General features: G+C 41.6%; 1 protein-coding gene and 1 pseudogene across 28 annotated transcripts in view; one reads left to right on the forward strand and one right to left on the reverse strand.

Annotated features, from left to right (window-relative positions):
• The window catches only part of MLH1 (mutL homolog 1), a 57,381-nt gene that overhangs the window by 1,811 nt on the left and 32,564 nt on the right, over window positions 1-23,006 (forward strand). For 7 of the 28 annotated variants that reach the window (NM_001354619.2, NM_001354618.2, NM_000249.4 and 4 more), the window contains 9 exons: window positions 1,343-1,433; window positions 5,679-5,777; window positions 9,125-9,198; window positions 11,715-11,787; window positions 13,538-13,629; window positions 16,544-16,586; window positions 16,735-16,823; window positions 19,156-19,268; window positions 22,230-22,323. In NM_001354619.2, the coding sequence (NP_001341548.1) occupies window positions 19,202-19,268; window positions 22,230-22,323 (161 nt within the window). In that variant the 5' untranslated portion in view covers window positions 1,343-1,433; window positions 5,679-5,777; window positions 9,125-9,198; ... (3 more) ...; window positions 16,735-16,823; window positions 19,156-19,201. Of the gene's footprint in view, window positions 1-117; window positions 370-1,342; window positions 1,434-1,879; window positions 2,025-5,678; window positions 5,778-9,124; window positions 9,199-11,714; window positions 11,788-13,537; window positions 13,630-16,543; window positions 16,587-16,734; window positions 16,824-19,155; window positions 19,269-22,229; window positions 22,324-23,006 lie in introns of those variants that run through there. The other 21 variants (XM_047448155.1, NM_001167618.3, NM_001354617.2 and 18 more) reach the window with 15 other exon arrangements.
• Window positions 21,125-21,758, reverse strand: RPL29P11 (ribosomal protein L29 pseudogene 11; annotated as a pseudogene).

Consider the following 23,006-nt stretch of genomic DNA (forward strand, 5'->3'; position numbering starts at 1 on the left):
TACTCTTTTTAATATATAAGTTGAGATGACTAATACAACTTCAATACAGGGGCTCATGAGAAATGTCTGTAATATTTAAGTAACTTATTGTCTTCTTTCTTTTTTTTTTAAGATGAAGTCTTACTCTGTTGCCCAGGCGGAAGTGCAGTGGCGTGATCTTGGCTCAGGGCAACCTCTGCCTCCTGGTTTCAAGCGATCTTCCTGCCTCAGCCTCCCGAGTAGCTGGGAGTACAGGCGTGCATGACCACACCCGGCTAATTTTTTTATTTTTAGTAGAGACGGGGTTTCTCCATGTTGGCCGGGCTGGTCTTGAACTCCTGACCTCAGGTGATCCGCCCACCTCAGCCTCCCCAAGTGTTGGGATTACAGGTGTGAGCCCCCGTGCCCAGCCTATTATCTTATTTCTGAATAAAGAATTGTCTGTGTGGGGAATAGATAACTCTTTCTCATGCAGCCCCTGCTAGAAAATTTGTTTTCTCTAGCAGTTGGTCTGTGCTTATAGGCTACTCTTTGAAAGCACAAAAAATTTATTGACTTCTTTTTTTTGGGTTTTTTTTTTTTTTTGAGACAGAGTTTTGCCCTTGTTGCCCAGGTTGGAGTGCAATGGCGCGATCTCAGCTCACCGCAACCTCCACCTCCTGGGTTCAAGTGATTCTCCTGCCTTAGCCTCCTGAGTAGCTGGGATTACAGGCATGCGTCACCATGCCTGGCTAATTTTGTATTTTTAGTACAAATGGGGTTTCTCCATGTTGGTCAGGCTGGTCTCAAACTCCTGACCTCAGGTGATCCACCCGCCTTGGCCTCCCAAAGTGCTGGGATTATGGGTGTGAGCCATTGCGCCTGGCCAGAAAATTCATTGACTTCCTAAAGATTTATTAACTTTCTGCATTACTTTTTTTTTTCCCCTCCATCGTAAATATAAAAGGGAATAGTAGAGAAAATCATTCAGAATTTTATTTTTTAGTGACATTATTTAGTGACATTTTATTAGAGTCACTTAGGAACCTGAGGCTGAATAAAGTTCAGGTAAAAGTAAAATTAGTTGAGAAGAGACATCTGCCAAAAGAAATCTATTTTTAACTTCACTTGCTGTCTTTCCTAGAGGAACAGAAATAGTGCTGAATGTCCTATTAGAAATGATGGTTGCTCTGCCCGTCTCTTCCCTCTCTCTCACACAATATGTAAACTCATACAGTGTATGAGCCTGTAAGACAAAGGAAAAACACGTTAATGAGGCACTATTGTTTGTATTTGGAGTTTGTTATCATTGCTTGGCTCATATTAAAATATGTACATTAGAGTAGTTGCAGACTGATAAATTATTTTCTGTTTGATTTGCCAGTTTAGATGCAAAATCCACAAGTATTCAAGTGATTGTTAAAGAGGGAGGCCTGAAGTTGATTCAGATCCAAGACAATGGCACCGGGATCAGGGTAAGTAAAACCTCAAAGTAGCAGGATGTTTGTGCGCTTCATGGAAGAGTCAGGACCTTTCTCTGTTCTGGAAACTAGGCTTTTGCAGATGGGATTTTTTCACTGAAAAATTCAACACCAACAATAAATATTTATTGAGTACCTATTATTTGCTGGGCACTGTTCAGGGGATGTGTCAGTGAATAAAATAGATTAAAATCTATTCTCTTCTGATGCTTACATTATAGTGGTGGGAGACAAAATGGGTATAATAAATATTATATTAGATAGCATTAAGTGCTGTGGAGAAAACTAAAGCAGGGAGGAAGATAGGAGTGTGCAAGCCAGAAAGGTTGCAATTAAATTGAGTAGTTCAGGAAGGCTTCAATATGGATGTGATATTTGAGAGACCGGTGGAAGTCAAGGAGCAAGTTGTGAGGCTATTTAAAGGTATTCTTGGCTTACAGAACAATATACGCAAAGACTATTAAATGGAAGCATACCTGACATGTTAAAGGACTATCAAGGAGGCCAGTTTGTCTAGAGGCTGAAAAGGAAAGAGTAATAGGAGATGAGGTCTGAGTGAAAACACGTAAATCCTTGTGGGCCAAGGTAAAATCTTTAGCTTTTTTTCTGAATATGGTGGGATACTGTTAGAGGGTTTTAAGCAGAGGTTACGTGGTGTGGTGAGTTTTTTTTTTTTAATCCTTTGTCTTTCTGTGTGGAAAATAGCAGGACAGGGCAGAAGCAGTCTGTCCTGCAGACTGCTTGGTCGCAGTAGAGATGTAAGAAGCAGTGAGATTCTGGGTTAATTATGGAGGCAAAGTTCTCAGAATTTGCTGATATAGGGTATGAGAGAAAGAGGAATCAGGAATGATTTCAAGGTTTTGGTCTGCTAAATGGAAGGAGTTGCCATTTACTAAGATGGGAAAGACTATGAAAGAAGCAGATTTTCAGAGAGATCAGAAGTTCATTTTGGGGCATGTTCAATTTAAGATGCCTGTTAGTTGGATGTTTATGTGAGTTTGGAATGCAGGGTAGAGATTTAGGGATGAATATTTGGTAGTTGTCTGCATTTTAATGGTATTAAAAGCCACGAGAAGGATGGGCATGGTGGCTCACACCTGTAATCCCAGCACTTTGGGAGGCCAAGGCGGGCAGATCACCTGAGGTCGGGAGTTCGAGACCAGCCTGACCAACATGGAGAAACCCCATCTCTACTAAAAATATATAATTAGCCGGGCGTGGTGGCACATGCCTGTAATCCCAGCTACTCGGGAGGCTGAGGCAGGAGAATCGCTTGAACCTGGGAGGTGGAGGTTGCGATGAGCCGAGATCGCACCGTTGCACTCCAGCTTGGGCAACAAGAGCAAAACTCCATCAAAAAAAAAAAAAAAAAAAAAAAAAAGCCTTGAGACTCACCTGAAAAGATGCTCAACATTATTGGTCATTAGGAAAATGAATGAAAACCACAATGAGATACCACTTCACACCTATTAGGATGGCTATTATCAAAAACAAAAACAAGTGTTTGCAAGGATGTAGAGATTGGAATTCTTGTGTATTGCTAGAGGGAATGTAAAATAGTGCAGGGTGCTGTGGAAAATGCTGTGGTGATTCCTCAAAAAATTAAACATAATTATATAATCCAGTAATTCCACTTCTGAGTTATTCCCAAAAGAAGGGATGCAAGCAGATATTTGTACACTCATATTCATGGCAGCATTATTTACAGTAGCCAAAAGGTGAAAGCAACCTAAGTGTCCGTCAGTGGATGAATGGATAAACAAAATGGAATAATTTCAGCCTTAAATAGAAATAAAATGTTGACACATGTTGCAACATATACGAACCTTGAAGACATCATGTTAAGTTAAATAAGTTGGTCACTAAAGGACAAATATTGTATGATTCCCCTTATGAGGTTCCTAGAGTAGTCACATTCATAGAGACAGTAGAGTGGTGGTTGCCCAGGGCCGGGGGGAGCGAGGAGAATGGAAATTATTGTTTATTGGGTACAGAGTTTCTGTTTGGGGAAGATGAAAAAATTCTGGAGATGGATCATGATGATAGTTAACACAGCAGTGTGAATATAGTTAATGGCACAGAACTGTACATTTAAAAATGGTTAAGATGGAAAATTTTCTGTTACATATATTTTACTGCAATTTTTTTAAATTTTATTATTATACTTTAAGTTTTAGGGTACATGTGCACAACATGCAGGTTTGTTACATATGTATACATGTGCCATGTTGGTGTGCTGCACCCATTAAGTCATCATTTAGCATTAGGTATATCTCCTAATGCTATCCCTCCCCCCTCCCCCACCCCACAACAGTCCCCAGTGTGTGATGTTCCCCTTTCTGTGTCCATGTGTTCTCATTGTTCAATTCCCACCTATGAGTGAGCACATGCAGTGTTTGGTTTTTTGTCCTTGTGATAGTTTGCTGAGAATGATGGTTTCCAGCTTCATCCATGTCCCTGCAAAGGACATGAACTCATCATTTTTTGTGGCTGCATAGTATTCCATGGTGTATATGTGCCACCTTTTCTTAATCCAGTCTATCATTGTTGGACATTTGGGTTGGTTCCAAGTCTTTGCTGTTGCGAATAGTGCTGCAGTAAACATACGTGTGCATGTGTCTTTATAGCAGCATGATTTATAATCCTTTGGGTATATACCCAGTAATGGGATGGCTGGGTCAAATGGTATTTCTAGTTCTAGATCCCTGAGGAATTGCCACACTGACTTCCACAATGGTTGAACTAGTTTACAGTCCCACCAACAGTGTAAAAGTGTTCCTATTTCTCCACATCCTCTCCAGCACCTGTTGTTTCCTGACTTTTTAAGATCGCCATTCTAACTGGTGTGAGATGGTATCTCATTGTGGTTTTGATTTGCATTTCTCTGATGGCCAGTGATGATGAGCATTTCTTCATGTGTTTTTTGGCTGCATAAATGTCTTCTTTCGAGAAGTGTCTGTTCATATCCTTCACTCACTTTTTGATGGGGTTGTTTGTTTTTTTCTTGTAAATTTGAGTTCATTGAAAAATTAGAATTTTTTTTTTTTTCCCTTTTTTAGAGGCAAGGTCTCACTCTGTCGCCCACACTGGAGTGCAGTAGTGTAAGCATAGCTCACTGTAACCTTGAACTCCTGGGCTCAAGCAATTCTGTCATCTCAGCCAGCTGAAGTAGTAACTGTAGGTTCACACCACCATGCCTATTTTTGTTTTTGTAGAAATAGGGCCTTGCTTTGTTGCCAAGGCTGGTCTTGAACTCCTGACCTCAAGCAGTCCTCCTGTCTCAGCCTCCCAAAGTGCTGGGATTATAGGTGTGAGCCACTGCACCCAGCCTTGGAGATTTTTAATAAAGAAGCTTGTCAATTAAACAAACAACAAAAAGCCCTGAGACTGAATGAGATAATCAAGAGAGTATGTGTAGATAGAGAAGAGGTCCAAGGAAGGAGTCTTGGGTGACTCTGATGTCAAGTGAGGACATGAGGCAGAAACAGCAGTGACTGAGAAGGAGCCACCTAGTAAGAAAGGAGGAACACCAGGACAGTGTGGTATTCTGGATTCCAAACAAGGAAGTTACTGCTAATTTTAAAGCTCTTCTCAGGCTGGGCATGGTGGCTCACACCTGTAGTCCCAGCACTTCGGGAGGCTGAGGTAGGTAAATCACTTGAGCTCATGTGTTTGAGACCAGCTTGGGCAACATGGTGAAACCTCATCTCTACTAAAAATATAAGAAATTAAGGCCAGGTGTGGTAGTTCATGCCTGTAATCCCAGTGCTTTGGGAGGTCAAGGCAGCCAGATCATTTGAGATCAGGAGTTCGAGACCAGCATGGCCAGCATAGTGAAGCCCCATCTCTACTAAAAATACAAGAAAAAATTAACCAAGCATGGTGGCGCATACCTGTAATCCCAGCCACTCTGGAGGCTGAGACATGAAAATTGCTTGAACCCGGGAGGCGGAGGTTGCAGTGAGCTGAGATCTCGCCACTGCACTTCAGCCTGGGTGACAGAGCAAGACTCTGTCTCAAAGGAGGTTGCAGTGAGCTGAGATCTCGCCACTGCACTTCAGCCTGGGTGACAGAGCAAGACTCTGTCTCAAAAAAAAAAAAAACAAAAACCAAGAAAAGAAAAAAAAACTCTTCTAAGAGGATTTTTTTTTCCTGGATTAAATCAAGAAAATGGGAATTCAAAGAGATTTGGAAAAATGAGTAACATGATTATTTACTCATCTTTTTGGTATCTAACAGAAAGAAGATCTGGATATTGTATGTGAAAGGTTCACTACTAGTAAACTGCAGTCCTTTGAGGATTTAGCCAGTATTTCTACCTATGGCTTTCGAGGTGAGGTAAGCTAAAGATTCAAGAAATGTGTAAAATATCCTCCTGTGATGACATTGTCTGTCATTTGTTAGTATGTATTTCTCAACATAGATAAATAAGGTTTGGTACCTTTTACTTGTTAAATGTATGCAAATCTGAGCAAACTTAATGAACTTTAACTTTCAAAGACTGAGAATTGTTCATAAATAAACTATTTTACCTGCAGAGACCTCTGATATATGTTTCTTGATGGAAGTACCCAGTACCACCTATGAAGTTTTCTTGTCAAAAAATCAAATGTGAATCTGATCATTACTTAGATCTAAGTACCAATATATGAAAAATATAGGAGACAAGGAAGCATGGTAAATGATACTGAGATTGGGAGACTACATGGAAAAAGACTTGTTCCCTTCAACAGATAGACAGCAGGGAAAAAAGAATAGAGAAAGGAGTAAAGAACCTGTAGATTAAAAGACATTTAAGGGACATATGAACCAGGTCCAGTGTATAGATCTTACCTAAATCCTGATGGAGCAAACTATAAAAAAATTTTTTTGAGACAAATGTTTGAATACAGGTTGACTATTTGATGGCATTAAGGAGAAATTATGAATTATCTTGGTATAAGAATATTGTCATGGGTTTTTTTTTTTGAGTCCTTACCTGTTAAGATACATACTAAAATATTTGTGGGTAAAATTATATGACGTATAGGAGTATATGATTTAGAAAACGGATTAAAATATAAAAGGATAAAATAGGATCTTATATTTTGTGACTCACTTCCTGTTGGATATCTTTCTACCCAGTAAATATAGTCCTATCTAGGTTTTAATGGCTACATGTATGTACTGTAGTTTGTTTAAATGGTTTCCTATTGAACATTTATGCTCTTTGCCATTTTTTCCTGTTTAACGTTCTGTTTTTTTTTTTGTTTTTTTTTTTTTTTGAGACAGTCTTGCTCTGTTATCCAGACTGGAGTGCAGTGACATGATCTCAGCTCACTGCAACCTCTGCCTTCTGGGTTCAAGCTATTCTCCTGCCTCAGCCTCCTGAATAGCTGTGATTACAGGCGTGCACCACTATGCCCAGCTAATTTTTGTATTTTGGGTAGAGACAGGGTTTGGCCATGTTGGCCAGGCTGGTCTTGAACTCCTGACCTTGAATGATCTGCCCGCCTTGGCCTTGCAAAGTGCTGGGGTTACAGGCATGAGCCACCACGTCTGGCCTTGTTTAAGGTCCTGATGAGTATTCTTATAGGTACACTGTGTTTCGTTTAATTATTTCCTTAGGATAAATTTATAGAAATAACATTCCTTGGTAAAAGAATACATATTTTAAAAACTGTATTAGTTTCCTGTTGCTGTCAAAAAATTTCCAGAAACTTAGTGGCATTAAACAATACAAATTAATTATTCTACAGTTCTGGAGATCAGAAGATACGGGTCTTACTAGGCCTCACTAGGCTAAAATCAAGGTTTTGGCAGGGCTGTGTTCCTCTATGGAGGTTCCAAGGGACCAGAGAAACTACTTTACAGTAGTTATTTTAAGGGAATGAAAGTGAAGATGGGGTTGGGCAGTCAAAGAGGCTGTTACTTTTCATTTTTGGCCTTTCAGTAGTTTGAATTTTTTTATCATATACATGTATTACTTTAATTTTTAAAAAGTAAAAAGCAGCTGTGATTCAGTCTCTGTAATTTAGATCAATTTACATCAAACTAGGGTGGTCTCATGTGTTGTCTTGCTCACAGTGACCACTAGATTATTCCAAGAAGGGACAATTTCCAAGACTTGGTTTACACTGAGACGGCTCCTGATTTTAAGGATACCTTAGATCAAACTCTAGGAAGGCAGTTTCATTTTGGCCTTGCAGTTCCCTGGGTCATTTTCCAAGCCCATGGCCTCCTGGAGTCTTCGCCTAGCTGTAGGTTATCTTTGTGGCTATTATTTCACTGTAATTATACAGGAAGATTTATTGAGGGATTTCTGTGTACCAGCCGTGGTTCTCAGCACTTTGTATACTTTGTATTAACTCTGACTCCTGACAGTAACTCTACAGAGGTTCTGCTGTTACCCAGTTTTACATAGAAACATGGCCAGCGGACGCAGTTAGAAAATGGCAAAGTGGGGATTAGAAACTAGGCAGTTTGACTCCAGAGTCTGTGCCCCTGTCCACTTGGCTCCACTGCTGGGGAAGAGGCCTCTGAAGCAGCAGGACCATCTGCTGTGCCGTGTGTAGTGGTACTCTATCTTCCTGGTGTGATGTTGTGTTCTACTTTGCATTTTCATGTCTTTCCTTATACAGGTCTCAAAATCATTTACTTTTTTTTTTTTTTTTTTGAGACGGAGTCTCACTCTGTTGCCCAGGCTAGAGTGTAGTGGCATAGTCTCACTCACTGCAACCTCCGCCTCCGAGGTTCAAGTAATTCTCCTGCCTCAGCCTCCCAAGTAGCTCGGATTACAGGCACATGCCACCACAGCTAGCAAATTTTTGTATTTTTAGTAGAGATTGGTGTTTCACCATGTTGGCCAGGCTGTTCTTGAACTCCTGACCTCAGGTGATCCACCCACCTAGGCCTCCCAAAGTGCTGGGATTACAGGCGTGAGCCACCCCACCCAGCCTTATATTTTTTAATGATGCACATTAGCTCAATTACATAAACCAGGGAAATCCAGCTAGGACCTGGTGATTTCTGAGCCTGACCCATGTGACTTTCAATGAACTGAACTTGCCACAGCTGTATTTACTGTCTACTGAGATGCTGTCACACAGACCCCGTCATAGCACAGTTCCTGAGTTACATCTTTACATACTGTAGTATCCTTCTTGTGAAAAAAGATACAGATTCCAAAGGTCTGAGAAACCAATCTTGGTTATAAAGGGGAAAAATGGTCATGGGTTTTTAAAATTTGTTTTGTCTTAATTGCATTTCAAATTTACATTTCTAAATGAATAATTGCTTATATAAAGCAGTTTTGATTAACAATATAAAACACTATCTATTTGGAGTGATTCCTTTACCCATTTCTGAAGGCAAGTTTTAAAAATTACTAGAAGACACTTCATTGAGAATATTATTAAACATGCCTATAGTTCTACCACCTCAACACAATTGCTTATTAACACATTAATGTTTTGGTGTGTTTTGGACTTTTTAATATGTATTTTTCACTTGTTCTAGTAATTATGCTACAGATTGATCATTTCTTTTTCAACATGTCATCAAAGCAAGTGAGCAAAGTGCTCATCGTTGCCACATATTAATACAAAATGGAAGCAGCAGTTCAGATAACCTTTCCCTTTGGTGAGGTGACAGTGGGTGACCCAGCAGTGAGTTTTTCTTTCAGTCTATTTTCTTTTCTTCCTTAGGCTTTGGCCAGCATAAGCCATGTGGCTCATGTTACTATTACAACGAAAACAGCTGATGGAAAGTGTGCATACAGGTATAGTGCTGACTTCTTTTACTCATATATATTCATTCTGAAATGTATTTTTTGCCTAGGTCTCAGAGTAATCCTGTCTCAACACCAGTGTTATCTTTTTTGGCAGAGATCTTGAGTACGTTTTCTTTTCTCCTTATTGATAAATTGATAATCCTCAAGGATGATTATTAGGTGATACTCTTACTTCATGGATTCTTAAAAGATATGATTTAACATATTACAAGTGCCTAGCAAGGTGTCTGTTACACGTAGGTATTTTAAGTAAATGGTAGCTGCTGATGTAATTTCTGCCCCTTTGCCCTTCAGTTGGGGTATTGCTTTGGACCGATTAGAGGGCTGTGGCTGGGATGCTAAAGGTTCATGTTTCCTTAGCTGGCTCCTGAGCCACCAGCTCCCACCACCTGTGTATACCTGTGCTAGTTTGCCTTCCCACAAGTAGCTGCTGGCTATCTGTTATGCTGGTACAGTTTTCAGAAACTGATGAATGGCCTTTGAACAGAACAAAAATGAGATTCAGAATAACAAAATTGCACCTTTGTTTTTATAAGCACTGGCCATTCACTAGTTGAAGACTGGTAGGAATACCTAATTCATGCCAAAAGAAAGATAATTTTTAAAAATCACACAGGTTGTTTGTAGATTAAAAGGGAAAATAGGCTAGGTATAGTGGCTTTGCCTGTGAGTTTGGGAGGCTGAAGTGGGAGGATTGCTTGAAGTCAGGAGTTTGAGACCAGCCTGGGAAACAGAGCAAGACCCCGTCTCTACAGAAAATTTTTAAAAAATTAGCTGGGCATGGTGATGCATATCTGTAGTCTTAGCTACTCCGGAGGTGGGAAGATTGCTTGAGCCCAGCAGTTTGAGGCTGCAGTGAGCTGTGATTACACCACTGTACTCCAACCTTAAAATAAATAAATAAATAAGGGAAAATATCTTCAACAAAGGATAGTTCTGTCTGTTTCTCAGTCTTCCTCAACAGATAAATGTGTGAAGTAATGGAAGGTGGAGATTTCAGATTACACAACATTAATGCTAAGGGCGTTTGACTCTGTGTGAATTCTAATTGCCCTAGATCTAGACGGGCTGATACTATTAGAATCCCCTGTCACTAACTGAAGACAGAGTTGTAAGTTAATGCCTTCCTAGATAGCCTAGATTGTGGTATGCTGCTGCATGCTAAAATGGCTCCCCTTCCATAGCAGGATGAAATAGAGTCATTATCTTGGCAACCAGCCCCTGCCAATGTGCTCTCAGTCTGCCTTTCCAGCCCCTTCTCTCTACCTATTCCCAGCTGCCATGTATTCTAAAGCCTCTATGCTTTCATTTTTGTTTTTGCCTTCCTGGATGGTCTTTCCTGCTGTCTCCACCTGAAACTATTCCTCTCTAAAGAACAGATGAATTGCCATCTCTCTGGGATGCTTTTACCCACCCTCACTCCCACCTCAGGCTGAATGGACCCTTCTCTAGATCGCTTAGCATATTGTTCTACAGTTAGGTAAAAAGTCTACCTATCACTAGATCAAGAGCTTTGTTTTTTTTTATTAATTTAATTTTCTTTTTTTTTTTTCTTTTTTTTTTGAGACAGAGTCTCGCTCTGTCGCCCAGGCTGGAGTGCAGTGCACAATCTTGGCTCACTGCAAGCTCCGCCTCCCAGGTTCACACCATTCTCCTGCCTCAGCCTCCCGAGTAGCCGGGACTACAGGCGCCCACCACCACGCCCAGCTAATTTTTTGTATTTTTAGTAGAGACGGGGTTTCACCATGTTAGTTAGCCAGGATGGTCTCGATCTCCTGACCTCGTGATCCACCCACCTCGGCCTCCCAAAGCACTGGGATTACAGGCATGAGCCACCGCGCCGAGCCCCAAGACCTTTCTTTATTACCAGGGCTTCCACAGACCTGACACATGGTAGTTCCTCAATAAATAATTGCAGAATTACTGAAAAATTTTACTGTTAACTTAGGCAGTGGTAAAACCATTGTTTGGTAGCTCAGAACTCAGCAAGTAAATAGCAACATTTGCTGGAAGAACAGATAGTTTTTCAAATCCAATTCAAGGACTGGGTATGGTGGCTCATGCCTGTAATCCCAGCACTTTGGGAGGCCGAGGCAGGCGTATCCAGGAGTTCGAGACTAGCCTGACCAACATGGTGAAACTCCGTCTCTACTAAAAATACAAAATTAGCCAGGTGTGGTGGTGGGCACCTGTAATCTCAGCTACTTGGGAGGCTGAGGCAGGAGAATCGCTTGAACCTGGTAGGCGGAGGTTGTAGTGAGCTGAGATTGTGCCATTGCTCTCCAGCCTGGGAAACAAGAGCAAAACTCCGTCTCAAAAAAAAAAAAAATCCAATTCAAATGATTATGGAAGTAGTGGAGAAATAAACAGGAAAATGATAAATAATTAAGATAATATATAATATGGCTATATTTTAATCTATTGTTGATATGATTTTCTCTTTTCCCCTTGGGATTAGTATCTATCTCTCTACTGGATATTAATTTGTTATATTTTCTCATTAGAGCAAGTTACTCAGATGGAAAACTGAAAGCCCCTCCTAAACCATGTGCTGGCAATCAAGGGACCCAGATCACGGTAAGAATGGTACATGGGAGAGTAAATTGTTGAAGCTTTGTTTGTATAAATATTGGAATAAAAAATAAAATTGCTTCTAAGTTTTCAGGGTAATAATAAAATGAATTTGCACTAGTTAATGGAGGTCCCAAGATATCCTCTAAGCAAGATAAATGACTATTGGCTTTTGTGGCATGGCAGCCTGCCACGTCCTTGTCTTTTTTAAGGGCTAGGAGATTCTTTATTGGGATGGCAAAAGTCAATGGCAGGGTAGTTGTCATTGAAAGAAGATTAAGCTTGACCCCAGAAGGCATGGGTTAGAGCCCAGCCTTGTCACTCAATGGTTGTATGTCCAGAGGCAAGTCACTTAACATCCCTTAACCCCAGTTTTCTCATCTGTCAAATGAAGCAAAGAATACTTGCCCTCTTGACTTAAAGGGTGTCTGATGAGACATATGACTGTATCATTAGCTGGGAGAAAGTCCATCGTGCTGCCTATGTATAGTGCCTCAAGTTGGTCTCTTTCCCTTCTATGATTACACAAAGCACTCCGCTGTCATGTTATCCATCCCGCCCCTCCATTCCAAGTCCCATCTAGAGCACATCTTCTTGAAGTCCACTGTAACCTGCCTAATCCTGGATGTGACGAGCCAGGCAGGAGGCAGAAAAGAATGTGTGTTTTGCAATACATGTTAAGAGACATCTTGGGCTGGGCACGGTGGCTCACACCTGTAATCTCAGCACTTTGGGAGGCTGAGGAGGGCGGATCATCTGAGGTTGGGAGTTCGAGACCAGCCTGACCAACATGGAGAAACCCCATCTCTACTAAAAATACAAAATTAGCCAGGCGTGATGGCGCATGCCTGTAATCCCAGCTACTCAGGAAGGCTGAGGCAGGAGAATTGCTTGAACCCGGGAGGCAGAGGTTGTGGTGAGTTGAGATCATGCCACTGCACTCCAGCCTGGGCAACAAGAGTGAAACAGGGTCTCAAAAACAAAAACAAACAAACAAAAAAAATCTTTTACCACGGTGACCACCATGTGATTTCCAAGAACTTCAAATGATCTAAGAAATTTTGTGATTATTACTAGTTTGAAAAATACTTTTTTTTTTTTTGAGACAAAGTCTCACTCTGTTGCCCAGGCTGAAGTGCAGTGGTGTGATCTCAGCTCACTGCAATCACTACCTCTTGAGTTCAAGCAGTTGTCCTGCCTCAGCCTCTTGAGTACCTGGGATTACAGGCATGCGTCACCATGCCCGGCTAATTTTTGTATTTTTAGTAGAGACAGGGTTTCACCATGTTGGCCAGGCTGGTCTCGAACTCCTGACCTCAGGTGACCCACCCACCTTGGCCTCCCAAAGTTCTGGGATTACAGACGTGAGCCACTGCACCCAGCCTGAAAAATATCTTTGAATGCCATGTGATACTATACTTGTCAGTTTACATGTGTGTCCCACTAAATCATGTACTCTCCTGAGCAGGATCATGCTTTGTCTTCATATTTTCTGTACAAAGCAAAGACTCTGACACAAAGCTAGCCCCCAGTGCATAGTTGAGAAATCAGTGAATGAATGTGGGAGGCAGGAAAAATGTCCTTTAATTCTTCTGTTAATGCTGTCTTATCCCTGGCCCCAGTCAGTGCTTAGAACTGTGCTGTTGGTAAATATAATTGGATTCACTATCTTAAGACCTCGCTTTTGCCAGGACATCTTGGGTTTTATTTTCAAGTACTTCTATGAATTTACAAGAAAAATCAATCTTCTGTTCAGGTGGAGGACCTTTTTTACAACATAGCCACGAGGAGAAAAGCTTTAAAAAATCCAAGTGAAGAATATGGGAAAATTTTGGAAGTTGTTGGCAGGTACAGTCCAAAATCTGGGAGTGGGTCTCTGAGATTTGTCATCAAAGTAATGTGTTCTAGTGCTCATACATTGAACAGTTGCTGAGCTAGATGGTGAAAAGTAAAACTAGCTTACAGATAGTTTCTGGTCAAGGTTTAGCCACCAATTTTGCAGTTTCTCTCATCTCCCCAGGAAAGAGCAGTTGGTCTTTAGATCAATGAGAGCTCTTTTATGGCAGACAAAACAAAGTGACTCTAGCCAACTTGAGCTAAAAAGAAATTTAGTGGAAGGCTAGGAGTTACCACATGAAGTGTGTGCAGCTGCCCCTTGGAGAGAATAAGAACCAGGGTGCCTCTGGGACTTAACATCATTACTGTACTCCAGTTGTTTTCATTCTTTTCCTGACTTTGCTCTAGAGTCAGTTTCCTAACAGAGTACATTCGATGATCATGTGCCCATATCTGTGGGGAGAAGATTTCTTGATTGGCAGTCTTACTAAGGGTGCATATCAAGTAGAATGGAATAGAGGTAGTTTCCTAAAGGAAGATGAGAGGCTGTTACCAGGAGGAGGAGAAGGGATTCAGGACAGATGAAAACAACGTTATATCCATGATAGACTTACGCTGCTGGTACAGATGGTACAGGTGGCTTCAGTATAGGCTCTCCGAACCCACATATCATTGATTATGATAGGGATATGTTAACTATTTTTCAGTGTATATATGTATATGTGTGTGTGTATATATATGTATATGTATATATATATGTATGTGTATATATGTATATGTATATATTTATATATGTATATGTATATATTTATATATGTATATGTATATATTTATATATGTATATGTATATATATTTATATATGTATATGTGTGTATATATATATTTATATATATGTATATGTGTGTATATATATATATTTTTTTTTGAAACGGAATTTCGCTCTTGTTGCCCAGGCTGGAGTGCAATGGTGCGATCTCAGCTCACTGCAACCTCTGCCTCCTGGGTTCAAGCGATTCTCCTGTCTCAGCCTCCCGAGTAGCTGGGATTACAGGCACTTGCCACCATGCCCGGCAATTTTTTTTTTGTTTTTTTTTAGTAGAGAGGGGGTTTAATCATTTTGGCCAGGCTGGTCTTGAACTCCTGACCTCAGGTGATCTGCCTGCCTTGGCCTCCTAAAGTGCTGGGATTACAGGCGTGAGCCACCATGCCTGGCCATTTTTCAGTATTTCTTTTTTTTTTTTTTTTTTTTTTTTTTTTGAGACAGAGTTTCACTCTTGTTGCACAGGCTGGAGTACAATGGTGTGATCTCGGCTCACCGCAACCTCTACTTCCCAGGTTCAAGCAATTCGCCTGCCTCAGCCTTCTCAAGTAGCTGGGATTACAGGCATATGCCACCATGCCCGGCTAATTTTGTGTTTTTAGTAGAGATGGGGTTTCTCCATGTTGGTCAGGCTAGTCTCAAACTCCCGACCTCAGATGATCCTCCCGCCTTGGCCTCCCAGAGTGCTGGGATTACTGGCATGAGCCAGCGCTCCTGGCCCATTTTTCAGTATTTCTAAAAAAAATCTAAAGTGGGTCAAACATTTCACCTTAATAGAATGACAGGTTTGTACATCAAGTTTCTTTGCTTTTTCTTGGAATTTTATACTTTTTTTTTTTTTTTGGAGACAGAGTCTTGCTGTGTTACCCAGGCTGGAGTGCAGTGGTGCGATCTCAGCTCACCACAACCTCCACCTCCAGGTTGAAGCAATTCTCCTACCTCAGCCTCCTGAGTAGCTGGGATTACAGGCACATGCCACCACACCCGGCTAATTTTTTTTTTTTTTTTGTATTTTTAGTAGAGACAGGGTTTCACCATGTTGTCCAGGCTGGTCTCGAACTCCTGACCTCAGGTGATCCGCCCATCTCGGCCCACCAAAGTGCTGGGATTACAGGCGTGAGCCACTGCACCCGGCCTTTTTCTTGGAATTTTATCAATCAGTGTCAGAATATTCATTACCTCCTAAAAATAAAGGAGTTCTAGTTGGCTGTTTTGATTCTAGGTGTGGTAAAGTGAAATATTGTTACTTAATAAATGCATTTTGCTAGACACAATCCTTCGGTTCACGAGCTCTGTAGAGAAAAGAGAAATAACCGCCAACCAAGAAAAGATTGGGAGATACTAGAATAAGACCCAGGGGCAGGAAGAAGCCAGTGAGAAGGAGGGCATGTTGAGAGCTCTGAGAGAGAATAAAAGCAGGGGTTGTTGGAGCTAGCTTCTCAAGATGTCCTTGAGGCAAACCAGACCTTTGGGACACTCTGAAAATAAAACTGAAAGTGAAGAGATTGTGGGCCGAATGTGGTGGCTCACGCCTGTAATCCCAGCACTTTGGGAGGTCGAGGCGGGTGGATCACCTGAGATCAGGAGTTCGATACCAGCCTGGCCAACATGGCGAAACGCCATCTCTACTAAAAATACAAAAAAAATTAGCTGGGCCTGGTGGCAGGCGCCTATAATCCCAGCTACTCGGGAGGCTGAGGCGGGAGAATCGCTTGAGTCCAGGAGGCGGAGGTTGCAGTGAGCTGAGATCGTGCCATTGCACTCCAGCCTGGGCAACAAGAGCAAAACTCTGTCTCAAAAATAAATAAAAATAAATAAAAAAGAGATAGTGGCGTGATATCCTTGATTCTATCAGCAACCTATAAAAGTAGAGAGGAGTCTGTGTTTTGATTCAGTCACCTTTAGCATTTTTATTTCCATGAAGTTTCTGCTGGTTTATTTTTCTGTGGGTAAAATATTAATAGGCTGTATGGAGATATTTTTCTTTATATGTACCTTTGTTTAGATTACTCAACTCCACTAATTTATTTAACTAAAAGGGGGCTCTGACATCTAGTGTGTGTTTTTGGCAACTCTTTTCTTACTCTTTTGTTTTTCTTTTCCAGGTATTCAGTACACAATGCAGGCATTAGTTTCTCAGTTAAAAAAGTAAGTTCTTGGTTTATGGGGGATGGTTTTGTTTTATGAAAAGAAAAAAGGGGATTTTTAATAGTTTGCTGGTGGAGATAAGGTTATGATGTTTCAGTCTCAGCCATGAGACAATAAATCCTTGTGTCTTCTGCTGTTTGTTTATCAGCAAGGAGAGACAGTAGCTGATGTTAGGACACTACCCAATGCCTCAACCGTGGACAATATTCGCTCCATCTTTGGAAATGCTGTTAGTCGGTATGTCGATAACCTATATAAAAAAATCTTTTACATTTATTATCTTGGTTTATCATTCCATCACATTATTTTGGAACCTTTCAAGATATTATGTGTGTTAAGAGTTTGCTTTAGTCAAATACACAGGCTTGTTTTATGCTTCAGATTTGTTAATGGAGTTCTTATTTCACGTAATCAACACTTTCTAGGTGTATGTAATCTCCTAGATTCTGTGGCGTGAATCATGTGTTCTTTCAAGGTCTTAGTCTTGAAAATATTTATAGTGTAGTAGAACTATTTTATCCTCCAATGCTCCTTCTTTTCCTTGTATTTCCATTATCATCACTTTAGGATTTCACTTATTTATCATTCAACATTTATTAATTGCCTCTCATATTCCAGGCTTTGTGCTAGAAGTTAGGGATATAAAGACAAATAAGATATTTCCTGCCCTTAAAGACTAGATTCGTGTTGCTAAGTCTTCATTATCAAGAAAAGCATAAGTGGGGAAAAGTGCTTGCATTATGGATTCCTCATAGTTGCTCCCCTCTGCATGTAAAAATCACCATTTCCATCATAGATTCCTAGCGGTCTCAGGACTTTATAAAGCCCAAAGTGCCTATGTCATAATATGAGGAAAAATACTGAGACCCTTCCATATATGGGAGGTATATGGATGAGACAGCTCCTGACTTCACTTTTCCCAGAAATCTGAAAAGCAGCAGCAGTCATTCCAGAGCCCAGTTTCTACTTTGAAGGGCAGATTATTTATTCTTTGAGCTAACCTGACTGAGGAACAATTAGTTTGCTTTTAATTTACTATTTTCTTTTTCTTTTCTTTTCTTTTTTGAGACAGAGTCTCACTCTGTTGCCTAGGCTGGAGTGCAGTGGCTCAAACTTGGCTCACTGCAAGCTCCGCCTCCCGGGTTCACGCCATTCTCCTGCCTCAGCCTCCCGAGTAGCTGGGACTACAGGCGCCTGTCACCACACCCAGCTAATTTTTTGTATTTTTTAGTAGAGACGGGGTTTCATCGTGTTAGCCAGGATGATCTCGATCTCCAGACCTCGTGATCCACCCACCTCGGCCTCCCAAAGTGCTGGGATTACAGGCGTGAGCCACCGTGCCCAGCCACTATTTTCTTTCTAATTGTTAATGAATTAATTTTTTAAAACTGTGCTCCTAGAGCGAAGGGAGAGCTCTGTTTACAGTGTAACTTTTCAGAGCTTCTTTAACTAGATTTTAAGATCAGAATTAGTTGTTGTGAAATCTTAGGGACTGTACAAGATTAGAAATCCTCTATAGCAGCATTTCCCAAAGCAGGCTTCCAGAACACTAGCCTCATGAGGCATTTTGGGAAAAAAGAGTTTGCTGGTTCAGTGTGTATGGGCAGTGCCACAAGCCGTACCCTCCGTTGAAGACACTCATTCCACACATTACTGCATAAAAAGCTTCCACCAGCCATTCGGCAAACTTATTGAGTGTCTGCTATTTCCTGGGTATTGTGCTATATGGTAGGGTTATAGTAGTGAACAAAGAAGAAATGATGCCTGCTCTCAGCTGACTTTGCAGTTGGAAAGACACATGAAATAATTACGCCATTCATTAGCAGATTGTGCTAGATGCCTCACTGGAAAAATAAAGGACATGATGGAAAACTCTGTAGGGTCAGAGAAAGGGATCATTAGAGAAGGTTCTTTGAAGAAATATTTTTTGAAATATGAAGGATAAATAGGAATTAACTAGGTACCAATAGGTTAGGAGTAGAGCTTTCCAGACAGAGGGACTAGTTCTTGGGAAGGTCTCCAGACAGAAATAAGTGTGGCTTGTCTGAGGACCTCTTATTCGCCTATTAACCTTCCCTCCCCAGTAAACACTCCTGGGAACAACACACATTGTAGAACCACGTTGTGGTGCTGTTCAGTATAGCAAGTAATTCAGCAGAGATAAGTTCTTGGAATCTCATCTTTGGGATTTAGTTACTAAGATACATTCAAGTTTGAGCAAAATAAGGTCTCAGAGCTTGGATTCATTGTTCTGTTCCAGCAATTAGAGCAGTACCTGGCACATAGCACAAGTGCTTGAAAACACTGACTGAGTAGGGTAGGTGGGTGAGTGGGTGGGTGGGTGGGTGGGTGGATGGATGGATGGGAGGATGGGTGGGTGAATGGGTGAACAGACAAATGGATGGATGAATGGACAGGCACAGGAGGACCTCAAATGGACCAAGTCTTCGGGGCCCTCATTTCACAAAGTTAGTTTATGGGAAGGAACCTTGTGTTTTTAAATTCTGATTCTTTTGTAATGTTTGAGTTTTGAGTATTTTCAAAAGCTTCAGAATCTCTTTTCTAATAGAGAACTGATAGAAATTGGATGTGAGGATAAAACCCTAGCCTTCAAAATGAATGGTTACATATCCAATGCAAACTACTCAGTGAAGAAGTGCATCTTCTTACTCTTCATCAACCGTAAGTTAAAAAGAACCACATGGGAAATCCACTCACAGGAAACACCCACAGGGAATTTTATGGGACCATGGAAAAATTTCTGATCCATAGGTTTGATTAAACATGGAGAAACCTCATGGCAAAGTTTGGTTTTATTGGGAAGCATGTATAATTTTTGTCCTAAGTCTGTGCTCAGCCCTCCCACATGTGCTCATTGCTGGTTGACTGTTGGAGTCTGGTTCTTACCTCTAAGAGGAAGCCCAGGAGAGGGCATAAAGCCAGCACACTGTCCTCACCTGATGGTGTCAGAGTCCTTACGAGTAAGCCCTAGCCAGAACATTGCTGGAAGAGATCAAGGGCCACTGTTTGAAATTGCACAGCAGGATACGGAAAAGGGGTACCTTAGGTATAGGCATTGTCATTAAAGAAATTGCTAAGATACTTGAGATTTTCCTGTTTAAGGAATGAGCTTTATGATACAAAGAGCAGTTCTAAAAATTAGGGAGGGAATTAACTAAATTAATTAGGATATTTCTCAAATTCCTTTACAGTTTTTGTCTCTCTGCTGATATAGTGTTTACATGATTGTTATTTACTAAACAAATGCTATTTTGTATTGTGCTCCTTATAACTTAATTGTTTATTACAAGGTTTTGATGGTGACCTACCAACAACAAGTAATCCCAAACACAGTCTGAATTTTTTGTTTTCCATCCAGAAATAAGATGAATCTTTCCATTTCCGTGTTTTCAGTTTTCATCATTTTTATCCTATAGGTTACTTATCTTTATTTTAAAGCATTTCATAATAATTTTATAGTTTTTGTTTTGTTTGCTTGTTTGCTGTTGGAAATGGAATATTCCCTCCTTCCATTTAGACTGCTAACCAGCTGTAAATGTTTCAAAATATGCATGTTTTACAGCAGTTGTTCAAAGCAATACAGGAACAGTAAGGACAGAGCCAGTCATTTTACAACCACATTCTGTTAAACTGATGTCTATTAGCAGGGTTTTTCCTATTTTATTAGGAAGGACTTACACCTGATATATAACAAAGCTTGTTTTAATCAAGGCTCAGAAAATGTTTTTCATTAGTTTTTTTCCTAACCATGAAGAATAACTGCTTTGTAACACACATGCTGGCTATAAAGCAGACAAAAAATTCACTGTAGGTGCTGCCTGACTGGCCTCTGTCCGTGTTTCTGTTGGGGCTGCTTACCACAGCCTCTGCATTATCATTAGCTAGTGTGTTCACAATACCAAGTTCCCAGTAGCAAAGAAAGGTCAAGCTCTTACGCATGCCATTCATTTATCTACACTGTGCAGGCGCACTCAGGTGGCAGGGACAAAGACCACTCCTTTGGCGCATCTCAAGTTCAGAATTCTCAGTAGAGGGGCTCCAGCTGTCCTTTTGTCAGGTGCCCATGCCTGCTCCAGGCCTGTGTGGTCAGGACACGTGTTACAGAGTACAGTGACATTAATGATGGGGCCATGGATATGGTCAGCACTCAGAGGATGTTAGTCTCTTCATTGATAAAGTCACAACCACTTTTCCTGTTGGAAATAAAAAGATTTGACGTATCCTTGTCTACAGCAACACAGGACAACAGATAATCAGCAGGTCATCTAAATCTGTTCAGAGAGAAAGGAGAGCTGTTTCCTGAAAATACATCTTCCCCTGATTTTAGTCTTATTTTTTTCTGCCTTTATTGCTTTCTACCCTCTTCAAACCAGCCTCATTTCCTAAATTACCTTGAATATGCATTGACACTTGTACTGCCTGAAATTCTGGAAAACTCAGTATGGCTACTCCACCGTCAGAACTTCCTGAGCAAAGTTAGTTGCTCTCTCGGCTCACTGTTTTGTTTTGTTTTGTTTTCCTGCCTCAGGTTTATTTGTACAAATAGCACAGGAGGACCAGCCCCATGCAGATGGTAGCCCAGGGGCGGGGGTAGGGGGTCACACCAGTCCTTCTGTCCTCATGTTGGCAGAGATATCTACTCTGAAGCCTTTGTAGGGGCCTGGGCACCTTTGGGAGCCTGAGCTGGAACTGAAGGTGGAGCTGCAGCCTGGGCCTTGGTTTGATCCTTGGCCTTGGCCTTTGGCCGGCACAGCCTGAGCCCCTTGGCAATACGGGCACGAGCACGCTTCCCAAGCTTGGGATGGGCAATGTAGGCAAGTCGATCGAGCTTGCGGCTGACACCCTTTGGGATCTTGGGCTTAACCTCCTTGGGCTTTACGAGGGCCTTGATAGCCTCGGCACGTGCACTCATGGCCTTGGCATTGTTGGCCTGCATCTTCTTTAGGCCCTTCTTGTTGTGCTTCTTGGCAAAGTGCATGTTCCTCAGGAACTTGGGGTCCACCCCCTTAAGAGATTCGTATCTTTGTGATCGGGGTTTCTTGATACCATTTCTGTGCCATTTTCGGGACTGGTTGTGTGTGGTGTGGTTCTTGGACTTCGCCATGTCTACACCTTAAGCCGCGGCTCCCGAAGCACCTAGAACCGGAAGAGTTGGCTCACTATTTAGCACACACACACGTCTATAATAGTGCTGGCCACTTGGGGTTGGAATTAGTTTATTTATCAGCATGTTGTCTCCCAGCACTTGGTGTGTGTGATATGCAGTATGTATTTGCAGAATGAAAAGTCTGAGGGCTGACATCATATTTCCCACTGTGCCCAGAAAGAGCACAGTTAGTCCACATGAGCTAATGGGGGCAAAGGGAAGTGAGGAGGGAGAATGTACTGCCTTATCATGTTTTCTATTACTTGGCTGAAGTAAAACAGTCCCAAGCCGATAGTAAGATAGTGGGCTGGAAAGTGGCGACAGGTAAAGGTGCACCTTTCTTCCTGGGGATGTGATGTGCATATCACTACAGAAATGTCTTTCCTGAGGTGATTTCATGACTTTGTGTGAATGTACACCTGTGACCTCACCCCTCAGGACAGTTTTGAACTGGTTGCTTTCTTTTTATTGTTTAGATCGTCTGGTAGAATCAACTTCCTTGAGAAAAGCCATAGAAACAGTGTATGCAGCCTATTTGCCCAAAAACACACACCCATTCCTGTACCTCAGGTAATGTAGCACCAAACTCCTCAACCAAGACTCACAAGGAACAGATGTTCTATCAGGCTCTCCTCTTTGAAAGAGATGAGCATGCTAATAGTACAATCAGAGTGAATCCCATACACCACTGGCAAAAGGATGTTCTGTCCCTTCTTACAGGTACAAGGCACAGTTTTCCTTCATTTATTCACTAATTTAGCAGAACCTCACTAAGAGCCTCCTATATGCCAGGCTCTGCGTTAGCAATAAAAGGAATGCCATGCCTCACCCCATCAGGAGGTGCTGATAGCTTGTAGGCGGAGTGGAAACAGATGTGCTCTAGAGGCTCTAAATATTACTTCTGCTGGGGTCAGTTGGGAAGCCACAACAGCTACTGTTCATCTTCCATAAAAGACAATCAGCCGGGCACAGTGGCTCACACCTGTAAATCCCAGCACTTTGGGAGGCTGAGGTGGGTGGATCACAAGGTCAGGTGTTTGAGACCAGCCTGGCCAACGTGGCGAAACCCTGTCTCTACTAAAAATACAAAAATTAGCCAGGCATGGTGGCGGGCGCCTGTAGTCCCAGCTACTCGGGAGGCTGAGGCAGGAGAATCGCTTGAACCTAGGAGGTGGAGGTTGCAGTGAGCTGAGACTGTACCACTGCACTCCAGCCTGGGCGACAGAGCGAGACTCCATCTCAAAAAAAAAAAA

Source organism: Homo sapiens, chromosome 3 (genome assembly GCF_000001405.40).
Source record: "Homo sapiens chromosome 3, GRCh38.p14 Primary Assembly".
Taxonomy (NCBI): Eukaryota; Metazoa; Chordata; class Mammalia; order Primates; family Hominidae; genus Homo; species Homo sapiens.